The 24,887-nt window shown below is 38.0% G+C and overlaps 1 protein-coding gene and 1 long non-coding RNA gene across 19 annotated transcripts in view; one reads left to right on the top strand and one right to left on the bottom strand.

Annotated features, from left to right (window-relative positions):
• Positions 1 to 14,934, top strand: part of LOC101929550 (uncharacterized) — a 38,158-nt gene extending 23,224 nt beyond the window's left edge. Inside the window, exons 4-5 of the long non-coding RNA NR_125819.1 lie at positions 6,965 to 7,246; positions 13,922 to 14,934. This is a non-coding gene — a long non-coding RNA (uncharacterized LOC101929550). The remainder of the gene's footprint in view (positions 1 to 6,964; positions 7,247 to 13,921) is intronic.
• UNC5D (unc-5 netrin receptor D) overlaps positions 1 to 24,887 on the bottom strand; it is a 561,066-nt gene that overhangs the window by 109,444 nt on the left and 426,735 nt on the right. For 9 of the 18 annotated variants that reach the window (NM_001438417.1, NM_001438418.1, NM_080872.4 and 6 more), the window contains exons 5-7: positions 3,370 to 3,550; positions 2,348 to 2,515; positions 388 to 552 (exon numbers count right to left, since the gene is read on the bottom strand). In NM_001438417.1, coding sequence (NP_001425346.1) covers positions 388 to 552; positions 2,348 to 2,515; positions 3,370 to 3,550 — 514 coding nt within the window. The remainder of the gene's footprint in view (positions 1 to 387; positions 553 to 2,347; positions 2,516 to 3,369; positions 3,551 to 24,887) is intronic. The other 9 variants (NM_001438424.1, NM_001438425.1, NM_001438426.1 and 6 more) reach the window with 1 other exon arrangement.

Below are 24,887 nucleotides of genomic sequence, written 5' to 3'. Positions count from 1 at the left end.
TTAAATGCTTTACTGTGTTTGCAAAATTCCTGGGGGGAAATATAACCACAGAGTGATCAGTATCAGAATTTCACCAAAATTAAAAATGGTAGCTTCTAAAAGTCTGAAGTATTTTCTTAACTATTTTTTCTTACTCTTAAAATGTTATCAAATTAGTAAGTATACACATCAACAGAATGCACAGTGATACAATATATGCACTTATACCATCTCTATTAAAAATGCATTTGTCTGCTTTTCTGCACTTTTTACCTAATTTATTTTTGCCCTTAGCAGCTTGGCTTTCTGCTAACTTATTTAACCACATTAATGGCTGTAGCTTACTTTCTTGAGATGCATAAATGGTATTATGAACAAACACTGAAGATGTTAAAGCAAAAGTGTTACCTAGGATGCAAAGACCATCTGTGCAGTTTTCAGATTCCTGGCTTAGACCTTCACAGAATTTGCCCCCATTTCTCGGGGGTGGTGCTGTGCACTCCCGGATCCGCAAATGTTCACACTCTGGACTGCAGACGGACCATTCGCTCCACACTTCCCAGCTCCCATCCACTTCAAAGGGAAACAAAAGAAACCATTGTTAGAATGAATCAAGTAGCGGTCAGGAGACTCACCCCAGGACTGCTGTTGTTCTAGAGCTGGATTTTAAGGAAATAACCACCAAACAGAAACAAAAGAACATATCCACTTATCTTCTCTCCATGGTTTCTTTCCTGAAGAGACAGGCTTACAAAAGCAGTGGTATAATACTCTTGCTATTTCAGGATGAGACCAATTACCAAATTGAGGCAAGCATTCATATTTCCAGCACCACTGGGTCAGCTAAAAATTTGTCATGACCCATTCTTTCCCAGTCTTTCATGCCCAAGTGCATCTTAGGTGGACAGATAAACTGTGTGCAGTAACCACTGACAATCAGCCACTTTCTTAGTGGTTGACAGTTTAGAACAGAGTATAATGAACTATCTTTAAGCCCTAGAAGCCCCTAAACAATATAAAGTTAAACCCAAATATATTGATAGTATTAAACTAAAACAGGTCAGTCAAACCCCAAGACACCAGGACTTATATAAATAGAATTTCTTGGGTCATGGACTGCTGCTGTATGTAGAAATGAACAAACTGAATTTAATTCCACTAAAAAGCAACCCTAGAGATCATGGCAGATGTCTGAGGCAATTGCCCTTTACCTCCTAGGAATAGTTCAACCATGCTTATGTGGGTTATTTAAGATACTGCAATTTTAAATCTAAAGCAATTAATCAAGAATAGGGTACTATAAAAAAAATACTGAACTTGAAGCAAAATGTCTGAGTCCTTGTCTTGGATCTGCCAACTTATCCGCTGAGCAATCCTGGGCGAGTTACTTAGCCTCACTTTACCATGTCTGCCAACTGGGGATAATAAAACTCACAACACAGGAGTAAACAACATTATGTATGTAAAAGCATCCTGCACAGTACCTGGCACATAGTAAGCACTCAATAAATGCTTATTGAACATAAGTCCAAAATGAAACTCCAAGAATATGCTGCTAGGAAGAGCCCCACCTTAACTTCGATTGCAACTAAATTTGCAATTTTATTATAAAGACATGAGACTCTAGTCCAGTGTCCTTGGAGTTAATGTTCTGTAGTGCATGTGAGACCCAGGGTCAATTTATTTCTCAGTGGGAGGATATGCATTTCATGAAGAAAGTCATCTTCCATCTCATCTATTTATCGTTGTATAAATTGGGTTACAGCCAGTAAGAGACAAAGGAATTTATGAAAGCCATACTTGGTAAATGAAGTATCTCTTTTTACAGAAAGAAAGGCAAGCATAGACCAAATGTAAAATATAGACTGCTGTGACAGTATACAGTCTCTATCAATTGTCTTATAAATAAATACAAAGCTAGAACTGATAAAGTTATTTGATTGATAACTAATGATAAAGAGTCAAACATTTGGTACCCGTTCTTTTGTGCTTTAAGACAACTTATCTAATCCCTGCTAACTATTATACAAATAAAGGCCACAAGATGGGAGAACCCAAGGAGAGAAGGGGATGGCTTAGCCCAACCAAATGCTAGCAGTATAACAAGACTTCATAGCAATTGGCTTATTGACGATGAATGTTCAGTGTCATCTGAGTATTAAAAAATATGCCCCAAAACATTGCACCGTGGTATTTCACCCATGTTGCTGCCATGACAATGAGCTTTACATTAGCACCTTGGATAAATGTTCTATTCTAAGAACTTGGGAGAGGGTAACTTTGGAAAAGAAGGTAACATTGATTGTTTCACACCAGCTTAATAGTGTTGGTGGATCAGAAGGGAAAAGGGAATCTGCATATATCTCACCAGGACAAAGAGAAGTGCAGGTTATTTTCTGCACTGACATTCCCTCACAAAAGGCCCCACCATTGAGAGGAGCTGGGTTGGTGCAGGTCCGGGAACGTTTCTGCCATCCTCTACCACAGCGAACATTGCAGGCTGACCACTCTGTCCAGGAAGACCAGCCTCCATTCACTGAGAGAGAAAAATGGGGAGGGGAGAAAAAAAGGAGAGAGGTTTTTACTGATTGCCTACTATGTGCAAGCCACTGTGCCAGGTGCTGTGAGTCAGGCATCCAGGGACCGAGAGACTGTGCAGCCCCCACTGGCTGCTCCATTATGAGACAACAGTGGGGGAGTCATCTCATCCAGTCCTCAGCCTATTCATCTGAAATAGGAGGGACACAGAATTTGCCTTGCAAGGAAATTATAAGAAATAGAAAGAACTCATCAATAAATCTCTAAAGCACTTGAAAATCCAGAGTATAAGAAGAAAATATCAGCATTTGAATTTCTATGACTTTAAGTGCTTCAAAAATAAATCCCAGGGCTCTTCTATTGTGGAAGGGAATGCCTTTACTTAAATAGCTGGGAACTTCTTTTATACAATACCTGAGATATTCAGCAAATAGTATTGTTTGTTTTTGGAGGATTTCACATACCAGGGGAGAGACTACCTGACAGCAGGTCTAGGAAAAACTGGGGTGAGTGTTGGGTTTGAGAGGCGTGGGAAGCAGAAGTTGCCCATCTCAATTCTTTTCAAATATAAACATAATGGAAGAAAATAAACAGCTTTTTATTATTTTTAAAAGAGAGATTGGAAATGTCACTGACTATCACATGGAAGTGCAATATTGGAAGGAACAGCAAACACATTAATAGAAATAGTGATGTTTTTTGCCTGCCAGACGAGGGAGGCAGGATAGAGCACTGCTGTGAATGAACCCCAAGGTCTTTGCAGCTCTCGACATTGAAAGTTTTAATAAAACACACATCCCTCTACCTCTTTCTGCCCTCCCTATCCATTCCTGGCCTTTGGAATGGTCTTACCGTAGACCACAACAGTGGCCGACAGGCTTCTCCTCTTAGCCACGATGTTGGCTGCCATGCAGGTGTAATTTCCTGAGTCCGAGAGCCGTGCCTGCCTGATGATCAGGTTATGGTCAGCCCTGGTGTCAATGTTCTCGTCTTGTTCAGAGTCAATGGGCTCTTCATTTTTCAGCCATTCCACCTACAGGAAGAAAGGAATGTTTACAAGTCACTAAAAAAATCAGAACTCTTTTCTGGAATTGAAAAGTGAGCAGATTCGGGTGTGGGAGAGAGATGTATCTAAAATATAGAGCAACAGCAATGATTGGTTTCTTTATTCCATATCCTGTCCCTTTTATTTGGTAAATTTGGTTATATTCAGGAAATGGATACTCAAGCTAATAAGTTGGGAGCAGGAAAAGAACACAAATATCCTACATTGACTTTGACCCATTTTCTAAAAATGCAGTGGAGGAGAGAAAAGAGGTGACTGCAATTAGGCCATTTCATTTCATTACAACGTTCATGATGATGATGATATTTCAATAATTGGTCCAAAGTGGAGCTCAGAAAATTAACATATAAATGTAGAACTTGTATTTTGTGTGAGAGGATATTATATTATTAGACAAGGTTTTAAGTCAAGATGCCTGAATTTAAACAAGTTTTGATAAAGGTTTGAGATTGTACCAAGGCTAAAGTAATACAGATTTGTGCAATCATAAGCAGATAAATTAAATTTAAAGCTCAGTGTTCTGTAGATTTTGAGATAAGTTTCTTTGGTGATCATTTACGTTACTCCTCCAGTGATCGAAGAGACATTTAGGCCTTGGGTTAGGTAGCTGACACAGTTGAGGCCCAGCCCTTCTTCTGGAGAAGCCCACCTTCCCCATCCTCTGAGCACAGGGTACTCCCATTTCGGATGTGTTTTCTCCTAGATGCTGAAGAACCTATTTTCTTCTTCCCAGTTTTATCTTGGTCCTATCCTTGGTCCAAACTTCTCTTTCCTTGAACACAAAAGGAAGACGCAGATGGAAGCCCTCTGCTCCCTGGATCCTCAATTGACTTCAAGTGGAGATATACCACCCTGAGCACCTCTATTTCATCACATGCCAATTTCCTCTGATCTGTGTTATTTCCTTATTCACTCTCTGCTTCCATGTCTAAGCAACATCTCTACTCTCTAGTGCCTCTTGGTAGTACTAGACACATCTCTTGTTTGACAACAACCATTCAGCTCTAGTTATCAGCATAGGTAAAACACAGTAATTTAACGGACACATAAAAACTGAAATTTATCACAGAAAGCAATGGCCGTGATGACATCAAAGAGAAGTCACACAGGAGCATACACATCAGGGGCATTTCATCATACTCTGCTCACCACAAGCACAGCTCACTGAAAGCTGGTTTTAGAATAAGATACTTCATTTCATTGCTTAAGTCTAAAGAATGCTAATTTATCACCAATAAAACGTGTCATCTGGGCCAAGTGCTGTGGCTCACGCCTGTAATCCCAGCACGTTGAGAGGCCGAGGCGGGCAGATCACGAGGTCAGGAATTGGAAACCAGCCTGACCAACATGGTGAAACCCTGTCTCTACTAAAATTACCAAAATTAGCCGGGTGTGGTGGCACGTGCCTGTAATCCCAGATACTCAGGAGGCTGAGGCAGGAGAATCGCTTGAACCAGGGAGGCAGAGGTTACAGTGAGCTGAGATCGCGCCACTGCACTCCAGCCTGGGCGACAGAGCGAGACTCCGTCCGCCCCTCCCCCCAAAAAAAGGTCGTCTCTTCTATAATTATTTGGTTTAATAATGATTTGTTTGTCTTTTTGAAAAGGGATTTATTTACCAGGGGAAAACATATTAGGATCCTTCCATACTTACCCCAAGTACCACCCCATGAATGAGAGCTTAAATATCCCAAATCATCACCATCCAAAACTTACTTTAGAAGAGGTTAATTTGAAAGAAAATGATACCAACTAGCACAAGGAAGAGATCTGAGAACTACAGTAAAATGTAAAATAAAGCTGTCAGAGCCGAGTGGTACCAAACAATGAAGTAAAAAAGCAAATCTCACTACCAAATCCCAGGGTTCCTGATGGCACCAGCCTGGAAGTGTAGGTACTAACAATGATCAGAGCCAAAAAGCGCTGCTCTGTTTAACAAAGTAGGGCAATGGAACCAATTTTATAATACATCTGACTACCAGCCTGTGACACAATATCTTCCATTCACTACTACCATTGCATATTTCAGAGCCATCCATTTGTTCATTTGACAAATACCTAAACATCTGTTGAGTATCAGAGATTGTACTGAGAGCTGGGTAAAACCAGGTGAACAAAACCAAGATGATCTCTTCTTTCACTGGATCTTACAATGAATGGGTAAAATAGAAATATAAGTAAATCCACATTCTCACCAAAATATAAGAGTTGAGAGTCACATTGTCTCAAGACAATGACTATAATAAATAAATTCCTCTCCCTTGAAAATTACCCAGTCTTGGGTATTTTGTTATGAGCAACAAGAAATGGACTAAGACCCTGCCCTGCCATGATCTTTCTGGGATTTTTGCAGTGGCTTCTTAACTAACTGGTCTGTCTGTGGCTTCTATTCTTGCCTCTACAGTTAATGTTAAGGTGTAACACTTACTGTAAAGTCAATAGAATTAGGTATTTTAAATTCCCATCACTCCTATATCACTGCAAGGAAGAAATTGGTCAGCTGAAAGCATGTCTGGGAACTTTTTTGCTCCACCTCCACTCTCCTCCTAGGTCAGAAATTCAGGGGTAAATTGCCTGCTTTCTGATTAATTTCTTACACTTGCTATTTGTAGCATCTAGCAAGCACTTCTCCTATGTTCCCCGCTCAGCTGTCCTCTTCTTTCATGCTTCTCCTCAAACAGTTTGTCAGGAAGTAGAGAAGTCTGGCACTGACCCATAAATAAATTATTCACACCAAGTAGATAGCCCTGTGGGCAGTGCTCCTGAAGATTGAAACTAAAGGAGTCCTAGCACCTGGAAATCAAGAAAAGCTGCCCTAAAGGAGTCTTGGCTCAGAGGAAAATTAAAGGTACAACCGTCAAGTAGAAACTTGGCTTCAAATTGAAAACTTAAAGAAAAATAAAATCATGCGCAAAAGAACGAGGCCAACAAACTAGGAAAATATTTGCCATAAATTTGATAGATATAAGGTTAATAATTGAATGGTATAAGTAAAAATAATATGAACGCTCAAACTTTCATTTAAGTTGATGATAAAAACCCATTCCAGTAAATCTGGCATAAAGATGAGTACATAGTACATGAAATAAAAAAAAATCCACAAAACACATGACAATTAAACAATTGAATAAATATTATGTAGCACTAAGAATAAAGTCTAAAATTAATAAGTTAGAAGTTAGAGCAATATGTTTCCTACCAAAATAGCCAAGATTAAAATCTCTCTCTGAAACACACATGGAGTTTTTATTTTAGTGATTTGTTTGTTTTTTATTGAGAGTGCAGACCAGAGAACATTTTACCTACTGTTTGATACCATGCTATGGATTGAATATTTGTCCCCTCCAAAATTCATGTTGACATTTAACATCCATTGTGACAGGATTGAAAGGCTGGGTCTTACAGAGGAGATCAGATCATGAGGACTCTCCCCTCATGAATGAATGAAAGAATGGATTAATGAATTAATGGGTTATCATAGAAGGGAAACTGGTGGCTTCACAACAAGATGAGAGATCTGACCTCGAATATTTGCCTGCTCAGCCTCATTGCCATGTGATGCCATGTCCTGTGCCACCTCTGGACTCTGCAGGGAGTCCCCACCAGCAAGAAGGCTCTCACCAGACATAGCTCCTCGACCTTGGATTTCTCAGCCTCCAGAACGGTAAGAAATAAATTTCTTTCCCTTGAAAATTACCCAGTTTCAGGTATTTTGTTATGAGCAACAAGAAATAAACTAAGACACTGTCCTACCATGATCTTCTTTCTAGGACTTTGGCAGTGGTTTCTTCACCAACTGGTCTGTCTGTGGCTTCTATTCTGACCTCTACAGTTGATTTTCTACAAAGGGATGAGACCACGCCACTTTCTAGCTTGAGATCATTCAGTGGCTTTGAATCTTACTTAGAATGAAACCTCTAGGCTAACAAAATCCTTATGGGGGTTCTAGCACCCTCTGTGAGTTAGCCACCTCAGAGCCTCGAGCTTTAGCCATGCTGTACTCCTTCATGCCCTTTGAACTTTCTAAAGTTCAAAGCAAGTTCCAACCTCAGAGCCTTCATACCTACTGATTCCTCTGCCCTGAAGAACTTTCCCATAGGTGGTACCATGGCTCAATCCCACTTTGCATTTAAATCTCAGGTCAAATGTTATTTCTTCACAGAGGCCTTACCTAACAACCCTTTCAAAAATAGTAAACCCCACCCCTTCCTGCTTTTTCTTCCTAATGCTTACCTCTGTTTGCTAGTCTTTTTTCCTTTTTATTTTTTGACACAATGTCTCAAAAGACTACTGCTGGAACACAGTAGTGTGATCATAGCTCACTACAGCCTTGACCTTCCAGGCTGAAGCAATCCTCCCACCTCAGCCTCCTGACTAGCTGGGACTACAGGTATGTCACCACACCAGGTTATTTTTATTTTTATTTTTTGTAGAGACAGGGTTTCACTATGTTTCTCAGGCTGGTCTCGAACTCCTGGGCTCAAGCAATCCACCTTGGCCTCTTAAAGTGCTGGGATTACTGGCATGAATCACAGTGCCTGGTTCTATTTGATAGTCTTAAAGATAATTATATCATTTGTACTCGTCATTATGGGCTTATGAATTTACCAAAAGAAAATATTAAGGGTGAGAGTTTAACAACAATAAACTATTTTTGATAGAAGAAAGAGAGAAAGAAAGAGAAAAAAGAGAGAGAAAAGAACAAAAAAGAGGAAAAAAGAAAGGATGCAAGGAGGAAAGAGAAAAAGCATGCCAAAGCTACATGACAAATAATGGGACTCAGCAATTGATTTAGTATTGTGTAGACATTAAATGTTCTGGTTTCAACTAGTAAAAACATAAAAAAGTGGTCATAATACATGAAAGAGTAAATATATAAAATTATGGTTAGTGTTATCATAAATTTATGAAACAAAAACAATAATAAACATATGTATGCTTAACGTAAACATTGGAAGAGAATGCAGTGTTTATAGAAGTCTTAACTGGGGTAATTATTCTTTTTTTCTGATAGTTAATTATGGCAAATTCAAGGTAAAATCTTTCATAATCTAAAAACAAATTACTTTAGCTTAAAAAAAATCTCTTTTATTTATCATGTAGCACAGTGATTTTCAAATTTATATTTAGCTGCAGAGTGTTTCTTCAATTCAAAGCTTATCTGAAACCCAAAATGAAAGAGGATTAAAAAAGGGAAGGTATTATGACTGATGCAGAAGTGAGGTATCTCAACTGCAGATGTGAGGGACCCTAAGATGCATAAACTTGGTCATGCCAGGTCCACTGCACAACTCCAGAAGAGATGATTCACATCCTCCCTTGTCAATGTAAATGATGTATGCTCAAGATGCTTGGTGCACAACTTGTGCTATCATATGAGCTGGCCCTGCTGTACGGTCTACCCCCAATCACTCATAGGCACTATAGACATATACTATGGTCTGCTTCTAGGACTTCCAAAATTATAGTTTGAAAACTATTGATAAGGTAAATAAGGTGTCCTAGGTGTGTGTATCTATCTATACACACACACACAGACACATACACACACGTATATATATATACACATACACACATATATACACACATATACATACACACACACATACACACACACACACACAGACACTCACACACCCTATAAAAACCTACTCTCATGGCTTTCTCATGGAAATGACAAGCATCAAATAACTTTTTACATATATACAGACCCCAGCATATCAGCATATATATATATATGCTGGTATACTTGATGTTTATGGTGTTATGACTGGGGTCCTTCAATCCAATTATGTCTATAAACAATCAACATAGTAGTAGACACTTAACTGTGGAACTGTTTTTTTATTCATAACCTAATAGTTTATCCATTTAACTGATGGCAGGATCTTTATGAGGAAATCAGTCTGGTATTTTCTGGGCTTATAAAAGTGACAAATTGTGCTTGGATTTATGCTTTTGTCACTTAGAGAAACTTTAAAACATTTTTGATGAGCTAAGTGCCCCTAATGTAGAACAGTTTAATAAATAAAATAGGAAAAAAAAATTCTCTACACCAGCAGTTGCAAACTCCAATGTTCCTGGGGGCCAGGGAGGTAACATAAATCAGTGAAGTGGTGCTGGGTACGAGACCCCCACGAGCACTGCTTGCATGTTAAAGACAAGGGACTGTTCTGCGTTTCCACAGAGGAATGAGCTCACACTCATTTTTCTTAAAAAATGTGGCATTTTCTGTCTTTTTAGACAGAGGCATGGGTATTTTTAAAAAATGATAGTGCAATGAAAAGTGACAATGAACTCATTTTTGCTTAATAATCTCTTTTGCTTTTCATGTGTCATGGTGGTCTTTAATTTACAGAGTATTTAGCTTTAGCATCAGAAATTATAGGAATGTGATGACCGTGGCAAAACGTAGACCGCAAGACCTGTGTAAATGTGTAGCCACTAGTTAGGGTCAGACTATCATTACCATGAGAGAACACAGGCACAGTGTGGTCAGATCTTATATTTTTCATGAAAAGCCAGAGATGTTTATTTCAATGTAATATTTTTTGATTCTTATATGATGGCCCGTATATTACAAAATTTATTATGAGGACCAAAAAAAAAACATATTCATGAGTGAGATGTAGATTTGCCCCCCTCGTCCACAAAAACCACAATACACCAGACTTCCGACCCCTGGTGAATGTTATCACAAAGAGGAGCTCAATGCCCTACACTGGATTTAATTTCCTTTCACTAAATCATTTTCCTCAACCATCCATGAATGTTATGGTGCATATGTGCTACTGCCCACTCTCATGGCTTTCTCGTGGAAATGACTGGCAAGCACATAACTTTTGAACCTATATCCAATATTCTGCAGGTATGATAAGGGTTTGCATGTATGCTGAGTTCAGAAATTATTTAACAATAAATTGCCTACACTGTAAATCCCTAATTAAGCTCTTAACAAAAGCAATACAGATTTTCAAATTAGCATTATGGGATCAATAAATTGACCACCTTGTGGCTAACAGACATTTGTATCACTTATGCACATGACCTCCTGCTAACAGGTCATCTTTCTGACAGAGAGGCCTAACATTCCTGAAGGTTGTTGGAGGCATTCACCCCTCGGATGAACAATTCTTTATCTGGTTTCTACTTATTTGGTTCACATAGATAATCCCAGTTCAGAACATGCAAAGAAACTAGTTACTTAGAGGTAATGAGCTTATGGATTTTCAGAACGCCAGCATTCATTAGCATAGTGTTATGTACAGATGGTCTGCAATTTGTAGATTTTTTTTCCAGTTTATAAACAAATCTGGAAAAGCAGAACATCAAAGACAATTAGATTTCATGCCAGACAGCAGGTTCCTGATCAGTCATTCTGGTTAGCTGGGGACAGAAGGTATGCAACTGATGAGCTTCTAGTTTTCTCACCAATAGGCAGCATGATGTAAACAGATTGGAGAGGGAGCCTCCACTGGAAGGGGAATAGAATGATGCATTGTGGGAGATTATCTTACCTGAGACCTGGCTTAACATATGAATATGTCTGCATGTGTCATAATATGTCACTTACTCTGATCTTTTATTAAAGACATCTAGTATGTATATACATAAACCTTACACCTAAATGTTTATTTCCACCAGACAATATGTGAGAATTTTCATGCTTCTGTTCTTGTTCTTAATGTTCTATAAAAGAATGAAAAGGAGAGTGATGTTATTAATCCTTTAGAAATGGAAAAAACAAAACCCAAAGACTAGTCTAGAAAGAGGAGAAAGCTGCTTTAAAATCCAGCTTTCCTCATATGCAGGACCCCAGGCCCCTTGACCTTTGAATTCTAGACTGGACCAACCCAAAAATCTACCCTCATATCCCACGGAAAATGCAAATCAGGCCCATTAATTGATATCATCGACCATGTGCTCCTACACTTCATTTCCAGCCCTCTCTCTTGGGATTTGGTAGACTCAGTATCAAATGGAGTTGTTCATATATATTATAGATGCAACCTCAGCTTTATGATTTCTAAAGTGTCTCAATTCATCTCATTGCCTGTGATCATTTTCTTTCTGCTCTACTTGTCGGCAAGCTTCTTAAGAACATGAACAATATCTCAAGTATCTCCCATCTAAGGATGTTCAATGGCACCTGCTGAATAAATGTGCTAGCCCAAATTGCTGTCCATGCAGATTTAGAGGTTGGTGCAATATACATACATGCACACATATGAGAACATTTCAAACTGTATTTTACGGATAGAGGTAAGGGAGGGGTCCATTATTCTTTGCTTTAGTTCCCAGAGCTGAGCATAGAAATGACCTAGAAGAGTAAGACTGCTGAGAGAGCTGTTCTTCAATATATTCTGGGAGCCACTAATATTTCATAATGGCTACACATTTTTCATACTGAATTTCACATATTCACTTAAGATTTGTGAATTATATTAGAGTAATAAATATTTTTTTCACACTATAGTAAAAAACGTCTTGGGAAGACAACCATATCTAGTGGGACAGGGTAGAGAGACAGGTCTATTAGAGATGTATAAGTGGTAGAGCCAGGGAAAAGCTGGAAGGCTACGGAAGTTCACAACATGATCACTCCCTGCATAAACTGAAAGCTTTTTGAAGTTAGCATCTTACAAAAAGCAAGACTGATTGATTGATTGTGCTTTTGTGAGAAAACGGGGAGAAGGATGAGGTCTGCATTCCAGCTGCTGAGCAGCTGAACTGAGACAGCACCCAAGGACATGAGGCAGGGACAGCCTGCACCAGGCAGAGGTGAAGATGGGATTCCCGGAAGCACGAGGAAGCCTTTAGACTCGCACATGCCAGGACTCTGGTCTAACCAATACATTTCTCATTCGCTTTAGGTTATAGTGTGAGTTTTGATCAAATGGATTATTTCCCAGCCTAATAATGATATCTAGCATTTCATGAACACTTACCATGTGCCAAATACTCTTTTAGGCACTATACATGTGTTAGTTAATTTAATCCTTAAAGCATCTCTAGGAGGTAAATACCATTTTTATCACCCCCATTTTATAGACAAAGAAACACAGATGTTAAGTACCTTGCCTAAACCATATATACACACACACATACACAAACACACTCACACACATTTATACACATAAACATATATAGACATAATTTGATTCCAAATTTAAGTCTTGCTTTTATCCACTAAACTCAGTTATCCTATCATTTGCTAGATTTGGTTGGAACGACTGTTGGCTCTTTGCAAAATTACATTGAAATACAGAAACTTATCACCATTAAAGAAAATTTTGAAAATGTATTTTAGGTTTTTATGATCACTCCTAAGGAAGAATTGCAAACAATTTTCTTGGGAATGGCAACATTGTTAGAGTAAGGGTATTGTCTCCCAGGTGGGTGATTTAAAGGACAGCTCTCAGTTGAATGCACACACTCCAGTTATATCATTACTGTCAAATGTTCAGACTGTGACCTGAATTATTTTGACATCAAAAACTTACTCAAGCTCAGTAACTGTCCACGGATAGGTCATGCCAAGTCAAGCTAGCCCCCTGAACATTATCTGGGGTCTCATTTTGCTTTTGGCACTGTGTAGAAATGGGTGCAGCACGTACCCATGAAGTCCTGCTGTGGCGATATATCCTAATGTCCTAAAATGTTTAAGAAGACTGACTGGATCTACGTCAACTGGAGAGCTTATAGGAAAGCATTTGCTTTTCTGAGAAAAGGGACTGGTATTCCTGTTCTTGTGACTGTATTGGACACCAATGTGATTCTAACAATATGGCAGCCATCTTGTGATCATGAGGAAAAGGCAAAGAAAACCACAGTGCTGTCGGCCATTGTCTTTACACTCACAAGTGAACATATTGTCATTCAATACACTATCTTATTTGATCCCCACGGCAACCCCAAGATAGGCAAAGAAAATCTTATTCTTCCCATTTTACCGATTATATGATTTGCCTAAGGCTATATGCTTGGGAAATGGTAGAACTAGAATTAGTAGCCCTCAAATATATATTTTTTCTACCACAAGGCATTAGCCATTTTCTTAGGCGTCTTAGTGACTATGTGAAAGGCTACTCTTTAATATTTGCCTAATTTGACTTGGCATTGTCTAATAAGTCTCCAAAGGGACTGAACCATTGCACAGTGATGCTTCTCTGCTCACAATGGGGCATATTCTTGCCTAATGTTAGTTCAGGCCATTACTTGCTTCACCACTTTCAGATTAGATGTCACCTGTCCTCTCCTCTCTCCTTGATAATATTTCTTTCAAGTTATTTATAACAGTACTATCATGTTTCCCCTTTTGTCTTGCTTTTCTTTCCAGGCTCTACAGATTGATTTTAAAGCCACCTACACTGCAGTTTCTTCAATTTAGCTCTACTTATCTGATTATGCATCACAAAAGGAAGCAGAAATTCAGCTTAATTGTGAAGCCATTGCAGCAGAACCAAGCAAATGATAGAAAACCTCATGATCACAGACAGAATCACACTCACTGATGCTGAATGAAATGACAGACATCCGTCCCTCTGCAGAAGCCTGAATACTGATCACAGAATTTTACGTTCTGACATTGTGTGTCTCTTGTCAGATAGTGTTGTCCTTTACTTTCCCCGCTTCAGTTGTGAAAGTCAGGTGCAGTCTCATACTATTTTTTTTTAAAATTCATTATGACAAGTAAATGGTCTCTGGGAAAGCGAACATCCTCATCCACTGTTTACTGAAACTGTAACACTGTCATGAGTGAAGAATGAAACATGTTTAATGTAAAGAGTTTGCAGAATGATGATCAGAGGAAAAGAACATTAAACAGAAGAAACATAAATATAAGAATGGGGAGAGAGATGTAATCAAAAGACAGCTTGTAAGGGAGGTTACATGCTGCCATTTGCTTTTCAGCTGTGTTTTCCATAGTGGGACAGATCTTGCTCTTTGTTACTTCTACTTTTGCTTTTTCCCATCTGCAAAGAGGGAAACAATCTGCTTTTGAATCTCTGGTGAAGCATCACCTAGAAGCTGCTGCCAAAGCTTGATATCCAGAGTGCTCTAAAACATAGTGTGATGTGCCCTTTCATCTTAAAGGATTATTTTTGGCTGGGCAGACCTCTCTAAGATAGATTATAAGGAGCTGGCTTTTAAAGGCAATGAAAACTGCTTCTGTATTCACATTTACCCCCTCCCTCCATTATCTGAGGTATGTAAATAATGTTTTAAAGTGGTGATGTGAGAATATTAATTATGTTTTCATTTCTTGTTCCTGTTACCATGTAATATATCTTCAAGTGCTGAGAAAACATCTTACAAAACCATTAAAGATTCCAAATGTTCATACATAAATGGGTGTTAAAAGCGGATGCCTGAGTTACATACAATTAATGATACACAGACACGTATCATACATACATGGACATGTACCACTGGAAAAATCAAGTCTACAAAGAATAAAAATATTTCTGTCAGTGAGTAAAAGGCTAATAATGTAATGATATCCAAAGGAAATGCAGGGACACATATGGATGAGCTCGGATTCCACATATTGGGTGACTAAGAATGAATTAGCATAAATTATAAATTTGTTCCAATTATAGAAGGTAATTATCGGAGACCAGCTTACAGCATTATCAAAATTAAAACAGCAAAGTGCATCTGTATTCCAAGTAGATGCCATTGAGTTAATCGTCCTGAAAAAAAAACCAAAAAGACTCTACACTTATTCATCTTCTATTCCTTTGATTACTAGACACTCTATCCAAGTTTCCCCTCAGCTGACAGACACAAAGTCACCATGAAGGAAGAAAAACATTTTGAAAATCATGCTTAATATAATAAAACAACTGCAAAACAACCAAATTCAAACTCTAAAGTCTTGTATGGATTATTTTCTAGATCAGTGGTTCAGATAGTGCTTTTAAATTTTAGACAGGAATTCACATCGCCTCTTGTGCTCTCTCCAAAATACTAATTAGGAATAAAGCTGTGACTAAACTTGTCATTACCTGCTCCAAACAAAAGTTCTTTATGCAGAAATCAACTGCTATTTTATTACAATACAAAGGTAGACATGTTGCTGTTCATATTATTTGTTTTCATTTGGCTTCCCATTATAAATGTAACCTGTTGCTTTGTTAACCATTGCCAACCTGGAAAGAACAAAGTCAAGTCAACATATTTTGAAAAGGAGTCAACAGATTTGGTATCCAAATTGTAGAGCTGAAAATGCAATTCCATTTAATGAGCTGAGATTATACATTTATATTAGAATATGCCTAGCAATTAAGGAAACAAATATAAGAGAGACACTCAAGAGATCACGGATTAATAAGACAGACAAAAACGCATTTCCATTGTAACTAAGCACAATGGTTTTACTATTATGAAGGATGGCCGACTTAGTGGAGGTGGGGCAAGGAAAAGGGGAGGAGAAGAAAAGGGACAGAAGGGAGACTCACATTTTATACATATTGATGGTCCAATATGTATTAGATGTGTCAGATAATATTCTAGGTTATTTCTCATCTTGAACCACTTGGTGAGTTAGACATCGTTAACTATGTTTTTATCATCTAAAAATAACTGAACATCAAAGAACTTAAATATGCCAACATATTCAAAATTCTGCCATCTTTTTATTTTAAGTTCCAGGATACATGTGCAGAATGTGCAGCTTTGTCACATAGGTATACATGTGCCATGGTGATTTCCTACACCTATCAACCTGTCATCAAGGTTTTATGGCCCACATGCATTAGGTATTTGTCCTAATGCTCTCCCTCCCCTTGCCCTCACATCCCCCAACAAGCCCCAGTATGTGTTGATCCCCTCCCTGTGTCCATGTGTTCTCATTGTTCAACTCCCACTTATAAGTGAGAACATGCAGTGTTTGGTTTTCTGTTCCTGTGTTAGTTTGCTGAGGATAATGTCTTCCAGCTCCATCCATGTCCCTGCAAAGGACATGATCTCATTTCTTTTTATGGCTGCATGGCATTGCATGGTATATATGCACCACATTTTCTTTATGCAGTCTATCACTGATGGGCATTTGGGTTGGTTCCATGTCTTCGCTATTGTCAATAGTGCTGCAATAAACATACATGTACATGTGTCTTCAAAGTAGAATCAAAATTATGCCATCTTTAAAAAATAGGTAAACAAAATCCCTCTTTTCCCTTCATGGCCAATGTATGTTGAATTATTTACCAAATATTTACCCCTTATCATCATATCCATTCTATCAAATCACCGAAGTGGCTCTTGCTAAGGTCATTAAGGATTTTCAAGCTATTACATCCAGTGCACATTGATCTGTATTCTTATTTGACTGTTAAGGGTAATGATGGCTGTTCTTGAATTTGTTCTTTCACCTGTTTTTATAATACCATATATTCTTTCCTCCTCCCACTCTGGCCACTCCTTCTCTATTGAAACATTCAGTGTTGTATTTCTTCAAGTCTCAGGTTTAGGCCCTGTTCCACGTCTTACTGCAAAACACCTCCCCACATGATCATATCCAGACTCATGTCATTCATGGTCATACACTGAACATTCCCAGATTGACATCTTCAGTTCATTTACCCTCTTGTGCTACAGACTCTGGTACTCAGAGACTTACTACTCAGTGTCTACTTTTGTGTACCTCAAAGGTACTTTCAGCTCAACATGTCAAACTGGACTTGGATTTTTTTTTCTGCATAAATAAGGGACGGATGATTTCCTTACCTGTTTGACATTAAAATATTTGAAACTTATCATCTGAGAAATAGAGATTCACTGAAAACATTTAAAGAGCTGGTGATAATAATATTACATTTAAAAGATCACTTTTGATATAATGTATAGAACACGTGGGATGGGGAGGGGCAGGCACAGCTGGCAACAGAGAGGTCATTGGGACACTGTAACAATGGCAGGGAGAAATTACAGTGGCTTGAAGGGAAGGTTTATAATGTGTATACAGTAAAGAATCTTGTAAAGGAATTAGGGGGTAAAATAGGATGGATAGAAATTTGCAACCGACTTGCTATTAGATTTAAGGAGACGGGCATCAAAATTTGGCACCCATATTTCTGACTTAGACAAGTGATATAGGAATACCAGGTAAAAAGGTCATTATTGCATGCTGCACTGTTAGGTACTGACTATTGGCTTGGTCCCTAATACACAAAGAGCACCCTGAAAATCAATAGATTGAAATGAAGAAAGAGAAAAAGAGAGAACAAGAAAGATCAAACTAAACATGGCCATAGAAAAATAAGCTAAGGATGTGAATAATTAATTCAGTGATGCATATAGTTAAGTTTGAAATGCACATAAGGCATTGAAATAAATATCTTCAACACAGATAAGTCATGAGCTCCAGACTTACTCAACTACTTTTTGAACATATTTATTCAAGCCTTCAGCATACATTCTATCAGAAACTATAGACAGATTGAAATCATGCAAAAAGTGTAAAATGGAAAGAAGTGGGAGTGGAGGGGGTGTGGGTTAGGACACACCACTGAAGAAAAGAAGCACTTCAAGATCAAGAAAGGGAAGAGGAAGATGCAGAAGTATGCTGATCATAAGGTAACAGACAAATCAGAAATTCATGAATCATGAAAACCAAGAAAAAAAACCATTTTAAGTACTGAAAATTATCACTGTAGTAAAAAGTGAGTCTGGATAAGGTGCCAGGCTCCATTTCAACAAGAAGCTCCTTCCACAGTGTGTTAATTAAAATCAGTTTAAAGGATTCCACTCGTCTTTGTTATTTTTAATGCAAATAATTATAACAATAAACTATACTTTCCTACTCTGTTAACTTTTCTCAATATTCACTAAAACTTCTCCAGAGTCAACTGTCCTCTTGAAAAATAAAGTGGCATCTCTAACTCACTCACAACTGCAAAACAAACCCCAGACACATAAAATATTAAAATATAATAAGTGCAACCACAAAAGTACCATAAGAAAGCATGGGTAAATATTCTTATAATATTAGGATGAGGAAGGATTTACTGCATGGTATGAAAACGAGAAGCCATAAAGACTGACTATTAAAAGTTCTATATAGCAAAAATGGTAAATATGGAAAAAAAGTTTAAAAAATGTTTGCAGCATGACAAAGTGTCGTTATACCAACATAAAGGATGATATTAAATATATTCTGCATTCAATAAGAGCAATAATGGTCAGTATGTTGAACCAGTATGTACTGCCTGGTCTGTAATATATAAAAAGCACCCAAAAATCAATAGGAAATAAAATTCCAACAGAAAGATGATCTAAGTACTTGAATAGATCATATAAAGGAGGAAAAATACAAATGAAGAACTTACCTATGAAAAGTCATTCATCCTTACCAATAATGAATATGAAAATGAGATATTACTTGTTGCCATGGCAAATATTGAATCTAAGGTTTGCCGAAGTATAGAAACAGAAGTTTCTATTCACTTTTGATGAATCGAAATTGGTACATTCCTTGTGTAGAACAATCTTAACAACTTTTATCAAAACTGAAAATGTTTCTATCATTTAATGTAAAATTCCACTGACTCCAGTAGAATAATCATGAGTAAAAGATCCAGAGATATGTGCTAAGAATAACTTTAATCACAACTTTGTTTATAGTAGTGAAGAAATTAGAAACAAACCAAATGTTCTTCAATCGATTAAATCAATTATGGCACATTTACTCAATGAAATACTATGCAACCATCAAAAAATATGCCTTTCTATCGTAATAGAATTGGAAATATCTCCACGGGACATTCTTGAGCATAAAAAGCAGATCAACAAACTGTTCTGTTATTATGTCTACATTCAAAGACACAGATTAATACCTGGAAGGTAGGTCAACAAATGTTATTTAAAATTTTTGGTGATTGGTATGTTCTTCTTATAGATTCCTAGATTGCTATAATTTTCTGTATGAGCTATTCATCAAATATTTCTGGCTCTCTGTTTTACAGGTAGAATCCATTTCCTGGCCCCTTTGTAGTTTGGCAGGATTACCTGTCTAGTTCTGGCCAGTTAGTTGTCAGTAGAAGAAACTTTTTAGTTCCAGGACAAAGAAGTCAGTTTCCTGTATTGAGATCCTCCAGACTTTTCTTTTTCTCCCTCTGCCACAACAGCTAGCTAACAGTGTTTTGGAAAATGGCCACGCCATCAGCCTTGAAACTATAGTAAGAGTTTAATCTAACACACAGCACCCAGCTGACTGTGATGGCCCTATAGCATGAGAGAAAAATAAATCTTTCCTGTGTTAAGCAGCTGAGATTTCTAAGTTGTTTGCTACTTTATCATAATTTAGACTGTCCTATTTTCTGCAATCTATATTATGTTTATAAGCAGGGGAAAAAAGCTATTTTCATTAAACAAATACATGTTCCAAGTTTGAAAAAAAAAGTCTAAAGCTCTGGATCTCTAAGAAGTAAACAAACTCTCCTATATTGTTTTTGTTTTTTAGTTCCGTAAACTAATGTATTAACTAGAAACCAATCTATTCCTAGATGGCTAGCAGGCTAAGTCTCATACCACATTTTACCTTCCCAGCTATCTTCCCCTAGTTATGTTAGACAACTATTTTATTTTTGCATAATCTTACACAGTGTGGATCATGGATAATGAACCACTGTGTCAAAACTCTAGGCTCTAAATCCACAGAGGGAAATTTAAATGAAATTACATTGCCTTTACATGTCATAGGTACTTCAGTTGACCATGCAATTTCACTAACCAAATTGAGTTTTCATTTCAGTTTATTTCTTAAATAACACAGGTAGTTTCATGAGTTACAAACATTCCAAGAGGAATCTAAAAACAAGTAACTTTGCACATCTAACATTTTCTCATTTGGGGAGGGTGTTTACGTTTCTCATCTTAATCAGCCTGGTCAATTAAATTGGATGGTTTTCTATTTGTTTCTATCCAGTTTATCCTCCTCCCCTTTGCATTCTGGTTGTTATGAACTAGCTCAGAGCTGTGGTTTGGGCTTCGCAACACTACAGGGAATGTTTAAAAAATAAACTAAATTGCCTTTGTGACTTTTTTTTTTTTTAAACTTGCTGAAAATGAGATTTTCAACAGCCTCCATTCCACGGCCCCCTCCTTCGTTTTTTATTTAAATTTTGGTACTAAAATGAGTTTACAATATTCTATTAATATCGCTTTGGAAGACACTTCTTTCCAATGCAATGTACGGATTAGTCCACAATTCTCCTCACTCCGATCCTTCATTGTTATTTGACTTTAGTGATGCCTATATGGATAAAATATTTAGCAATTTACGTGCCTTTAAAAATCCACATTTCCATATTATTTCTTCATAGGCATACATTTACAAAAAAAAAATTAAATTCCCATGCAACCCTCATTCCACCATAAAATATTGCTTGAAACAGGAAGTGGTCATAGATTTATCTCAGGGCACTTGGAGGGTCAATCCCTAATAATCCATTCAAGAAGGAAATATCCCTAATAATCCATTCAAGAAGGAAATATCCCTAATAATCCATTCAAGAAGGAAAACCATGATCAAAATTGTCAAAAAAAAAAAAAGTATAACCAAGTTTGGAATTAAATATTTGATTCTTTATTTTGTGAAAAATAAATGTATATATGAACATATTAATGTACATATGAAAGGGATATACAGTTCATAATTAAACAAATATAGGGTTAAAAGCAGTAATATGCTAGAACATAAATGTATACATTATATATCCTCACAGATAATTCATAAATTCAATAATTTACATCGACATTATTGAGAGTTACTTCTGTGTAATACTTACCTATTTAGTCCCTGTGAGATCAAAACCCTATTCTTCCTCTGCAAAATGAAAAAAATGCAAAATGCAAAAAAAAAAAAAAAAATGGCACCTTCTCTCCCCTACCTCATGGGCTTTTTGGGAGGTTGAAAATAAAACTGGAAGATGAAATGAAACTGGAGAATGAAATGGGAGGATGAAAAGCTTTCTGTAAAAGTAGAAAGCAATAAATTAAAATAATCTGATAGCAGATTTCCAAAACCCATGGTCTTATTTGGGTGTAACATCAATAGTTGAAAGAGATTGAGACCAGAACAGCAGCAGCTTGTACTGGATCCTGCATGCCACTCAAGGGGCTTACACTCAACCTTGAAGGCATTAAGAAGCCATTAAAAGGAGGAACCAAAGGAGTTCTGCTTAAGAAAACTCATTCTGACAGCAAGGCAGACAGTGACAGGTAACACTGGGGGTTTGAGAAACCAGAAAGGAAGTTGTAACTCCTTTAAGAGGCATAAAGGATGAAAGCTTGAATAGCACAATGTGGTTAAGTTGGAGAAGGCATAACACATAAAATAGCATTGATAACTAGTGATAATTTAGAATGAGAGGAAAGGCTGGGCACAGTGGCTCACATCTGTAATCCCAGTACTTTGGGAGGCCAAGGCAGGAGGATGGCTTGAGGCCTGGAGTTTTAAGACCAGCTGGGGCAACAAAACAAGACCCTGTCTCTATAAAAACTTAAAAAATTAGCTGGGCATGGTGGTGCACATCTGCAGTCCCAGCTATTTGGGAGGCTGCAGTGGGAGGATCACTTCAGCCCAGGAGTTTGAGTTATGATCAAACCACTGCACAACAGCCTGGATGACAGAGGAAGACCCATCTCTAAATAAATAAATAAAAATAAAATAAAATAAATTGAGAGAATAGATGAGTGAAAGAATCCTAAAAATAACTCAAAATTTCTAGCTTTGGCAACTTGATTAATGGGTCCAGATCTTCAAGGTCAAATGCCTTTTCATACAAGTCATTGTTGAGGTAATGTGGGAAACTTTTAAGAACCAATCATTAGGCCAGGTGAGGTGGCTCACACCTGTAATCTCAGCACTTTGGGAGGCTGAGGCGGGTGGATCCCCTGATGTTAGGAGTTCAAGGCCAGCCTGGCTAACTTGGTGAAACTGCATCTCTATTAAAAATACAAAAATTATCTGGGCGTGGTGGCATGTGGCTGTAAGTAATTCCAGCTACTCGGAGGCTGAGGCAAGATAATTGCTTGAACCCAGAAGCCAGAGGGTGCAGTGAGCCGTGATTGCACCACTGCATTCTAGCCTGGGCAACAGAGCAAGAAAGGCTCCATCTCAAACAAACAAACAAATAAACAAGAATCAATTATTGACTTAGGCAATTGGACTCAACCCAATTAAAACAAACATCCAAGCAACATGGCAGCAGAACTGTTTCTGATTTGAGAATAAAGCCCATTTTACCCCAGGATCTGTAGAATCATCATCAATGAAAATAGTGCTTCTTTGTGGGCTTTAGGTTGGCAGTGATAATTTTATAGGTAAAACTATAAAATAACTGCAGTTCTTGAGTTAAGATGAAACTATTCTGCCCTTTAAATATATCTGACTTTAGATTGTGTTCAGTAAGTGGAGTACACAAACATCAGAAGTATCACATCTGGAATGTCAGCACCCCTTGAAGAGGGCAATCAATGATTTTCTGGATGCAAGATAGGACTGTAACCAGTTTTTAATATACAAAAGTTCAACATCTGGCTGGTGGTTACAACTGATTTGCTAATAGCCTGTTCTTTTCAGTTTATAACCACACTCTTTTTAAAAAATAAAAGTTTGTAGGAGGCTCTTTACCTCATATTTTCAAATCAACCACCTCTTATCTGCAACTTTCTACTGTGAGTAGGGAACATCAAAATAAATAACTATACCATACTTCCTTTAATCATTTTACAAAGTGCACAGGACCTAACATAGATATGGGGGCATTTTGTGGGGAGTAATTACCATCAAAATCTTTCTCTTATTTTATAAATCATTCTCTCTTTTTCTGTCTTTTTCTCTTCCACATTCACATGTATACACCATAACCACTACATACATCATTGCTGCATATGCTACATACATATGTCACCACTGCATACACCTCCCGCCACCACCAGCACCAGAGCATGCCAGAAAGACTCTCAGACATGGTTACCGAAAAAGAACACCTTCATTTTCTTGCAGAGTTTTAGCTGGACATGAACACTCACATGCTACCTTTAAGCCAGAAGGCTCAAACTGTCAAATCCCACAGTTGCTATTGCAATCAATGGTGTCACTCTGTTCAGTGTTTAAGACCAGCAGAAATGTGAGCTGTTCGAATCTTTTTCTAGAGTACCCTGAATTGGAATAAGGACAGAAGGGATACCTAGCCAAGAAGGACTAAAAAGATCAGCTAATCATTTTCTTTAGCCACCTAAAGAATAGGAATGTGTTGACTGTTTGTCCTCTGCTCTCAGCAGTAGATCTGGTGTGCATCAGTAGCTCCTCAGGTCAATCCATTCATTGGTGTATCTGTACACACTGGCTGGTAATAAGTAACCCCCCTTCATGATGCTCTAAAGCAGCGGTCCTCAACCTTTTTGGCACCATGGACTGGTTTTGTGGAAGACAATTTTTCCACGGACCTGGGGTGGGGGAAGTGGGGGATGGTTTCAGGATGAAACTGTTCTACCTCAGATCGTCAGGCATTAGATAGATGGGACTCCGATAAGGAGCGTGCTACCTAGATCCCTCGCATACGCAGTTCACAAGAGAGTTTGCGCTCCTATGAGAATCTAGCGTTGAGGCTGATCTCACAGGAGGCAGAGCTCAGGTGGTAATGCTCCCTCGCCTGCTTCTTACCTCCTGCTGTGGGGCCCAGTACCTAACTGGCCACCTACTGATACTAGTCTGTGGTAGGGACTGGGGACTCCTGCTCTAAAGGAACTGAGTGGTAAAAACCTCACCGCTCTAACAAACTTGTGACTGCAGAGTGACCGTTTATATAACTTTCCATTTTAGAGCTGTGAGCTATTCATTTTTAGCCCAGATTTGCTCATGGAAAAATGTTAGTGGGGTGCAATACATTTATGCAGGGAGGACTTAGTGTTACCTGCTCCAGGCTGTGCATCTTTCTGTCCCCATCATGATCCTGGAACTGTACGACCCTTTCCCTTTCCCTGACAGTGTTTATTTTGCTTTAAACCAAGGCTCATCTCTTAAAGCTCATTTTTTTTCTTTGTTTTTTGCACAAATCACAGCTAAACACAGTTGTTCACCTTCTCATTCACACATTTGCAATCTCTATCAACCTTGGCAGTAATGCAGCATCACCTGAGGGCATCATCTGCTTTACGAACTACTGCAACTTCAATAAAGCAGGGGTCTGGCTTTATGATACCGGTCTAGGCTGTGAGTCTAACTACATATGGGGCTGCCAGACCATGTCTTATCACAGAACCAGATTTCACTTAAATCAGTCTAAACCACTACG

This window comes from Homo sapiens, chromosome 8 (genome assembly GCF_000001405.40).
Source record: "Homo sapiens chromosome 8, GRCh38.p14 Primary Assembly".
In the NCBI taxonomy this organism is placed as follows: Eukaryota; Metazoa; Chordata; class Mammalia; order Primates; family Hominidae; genus Homo; species Homo sapiens.
The sequence above is the reverse complement of the archived record's forward strand: the minus strand, read 5'-3'. Positions and strand labels throughout refer to the sequence as shown.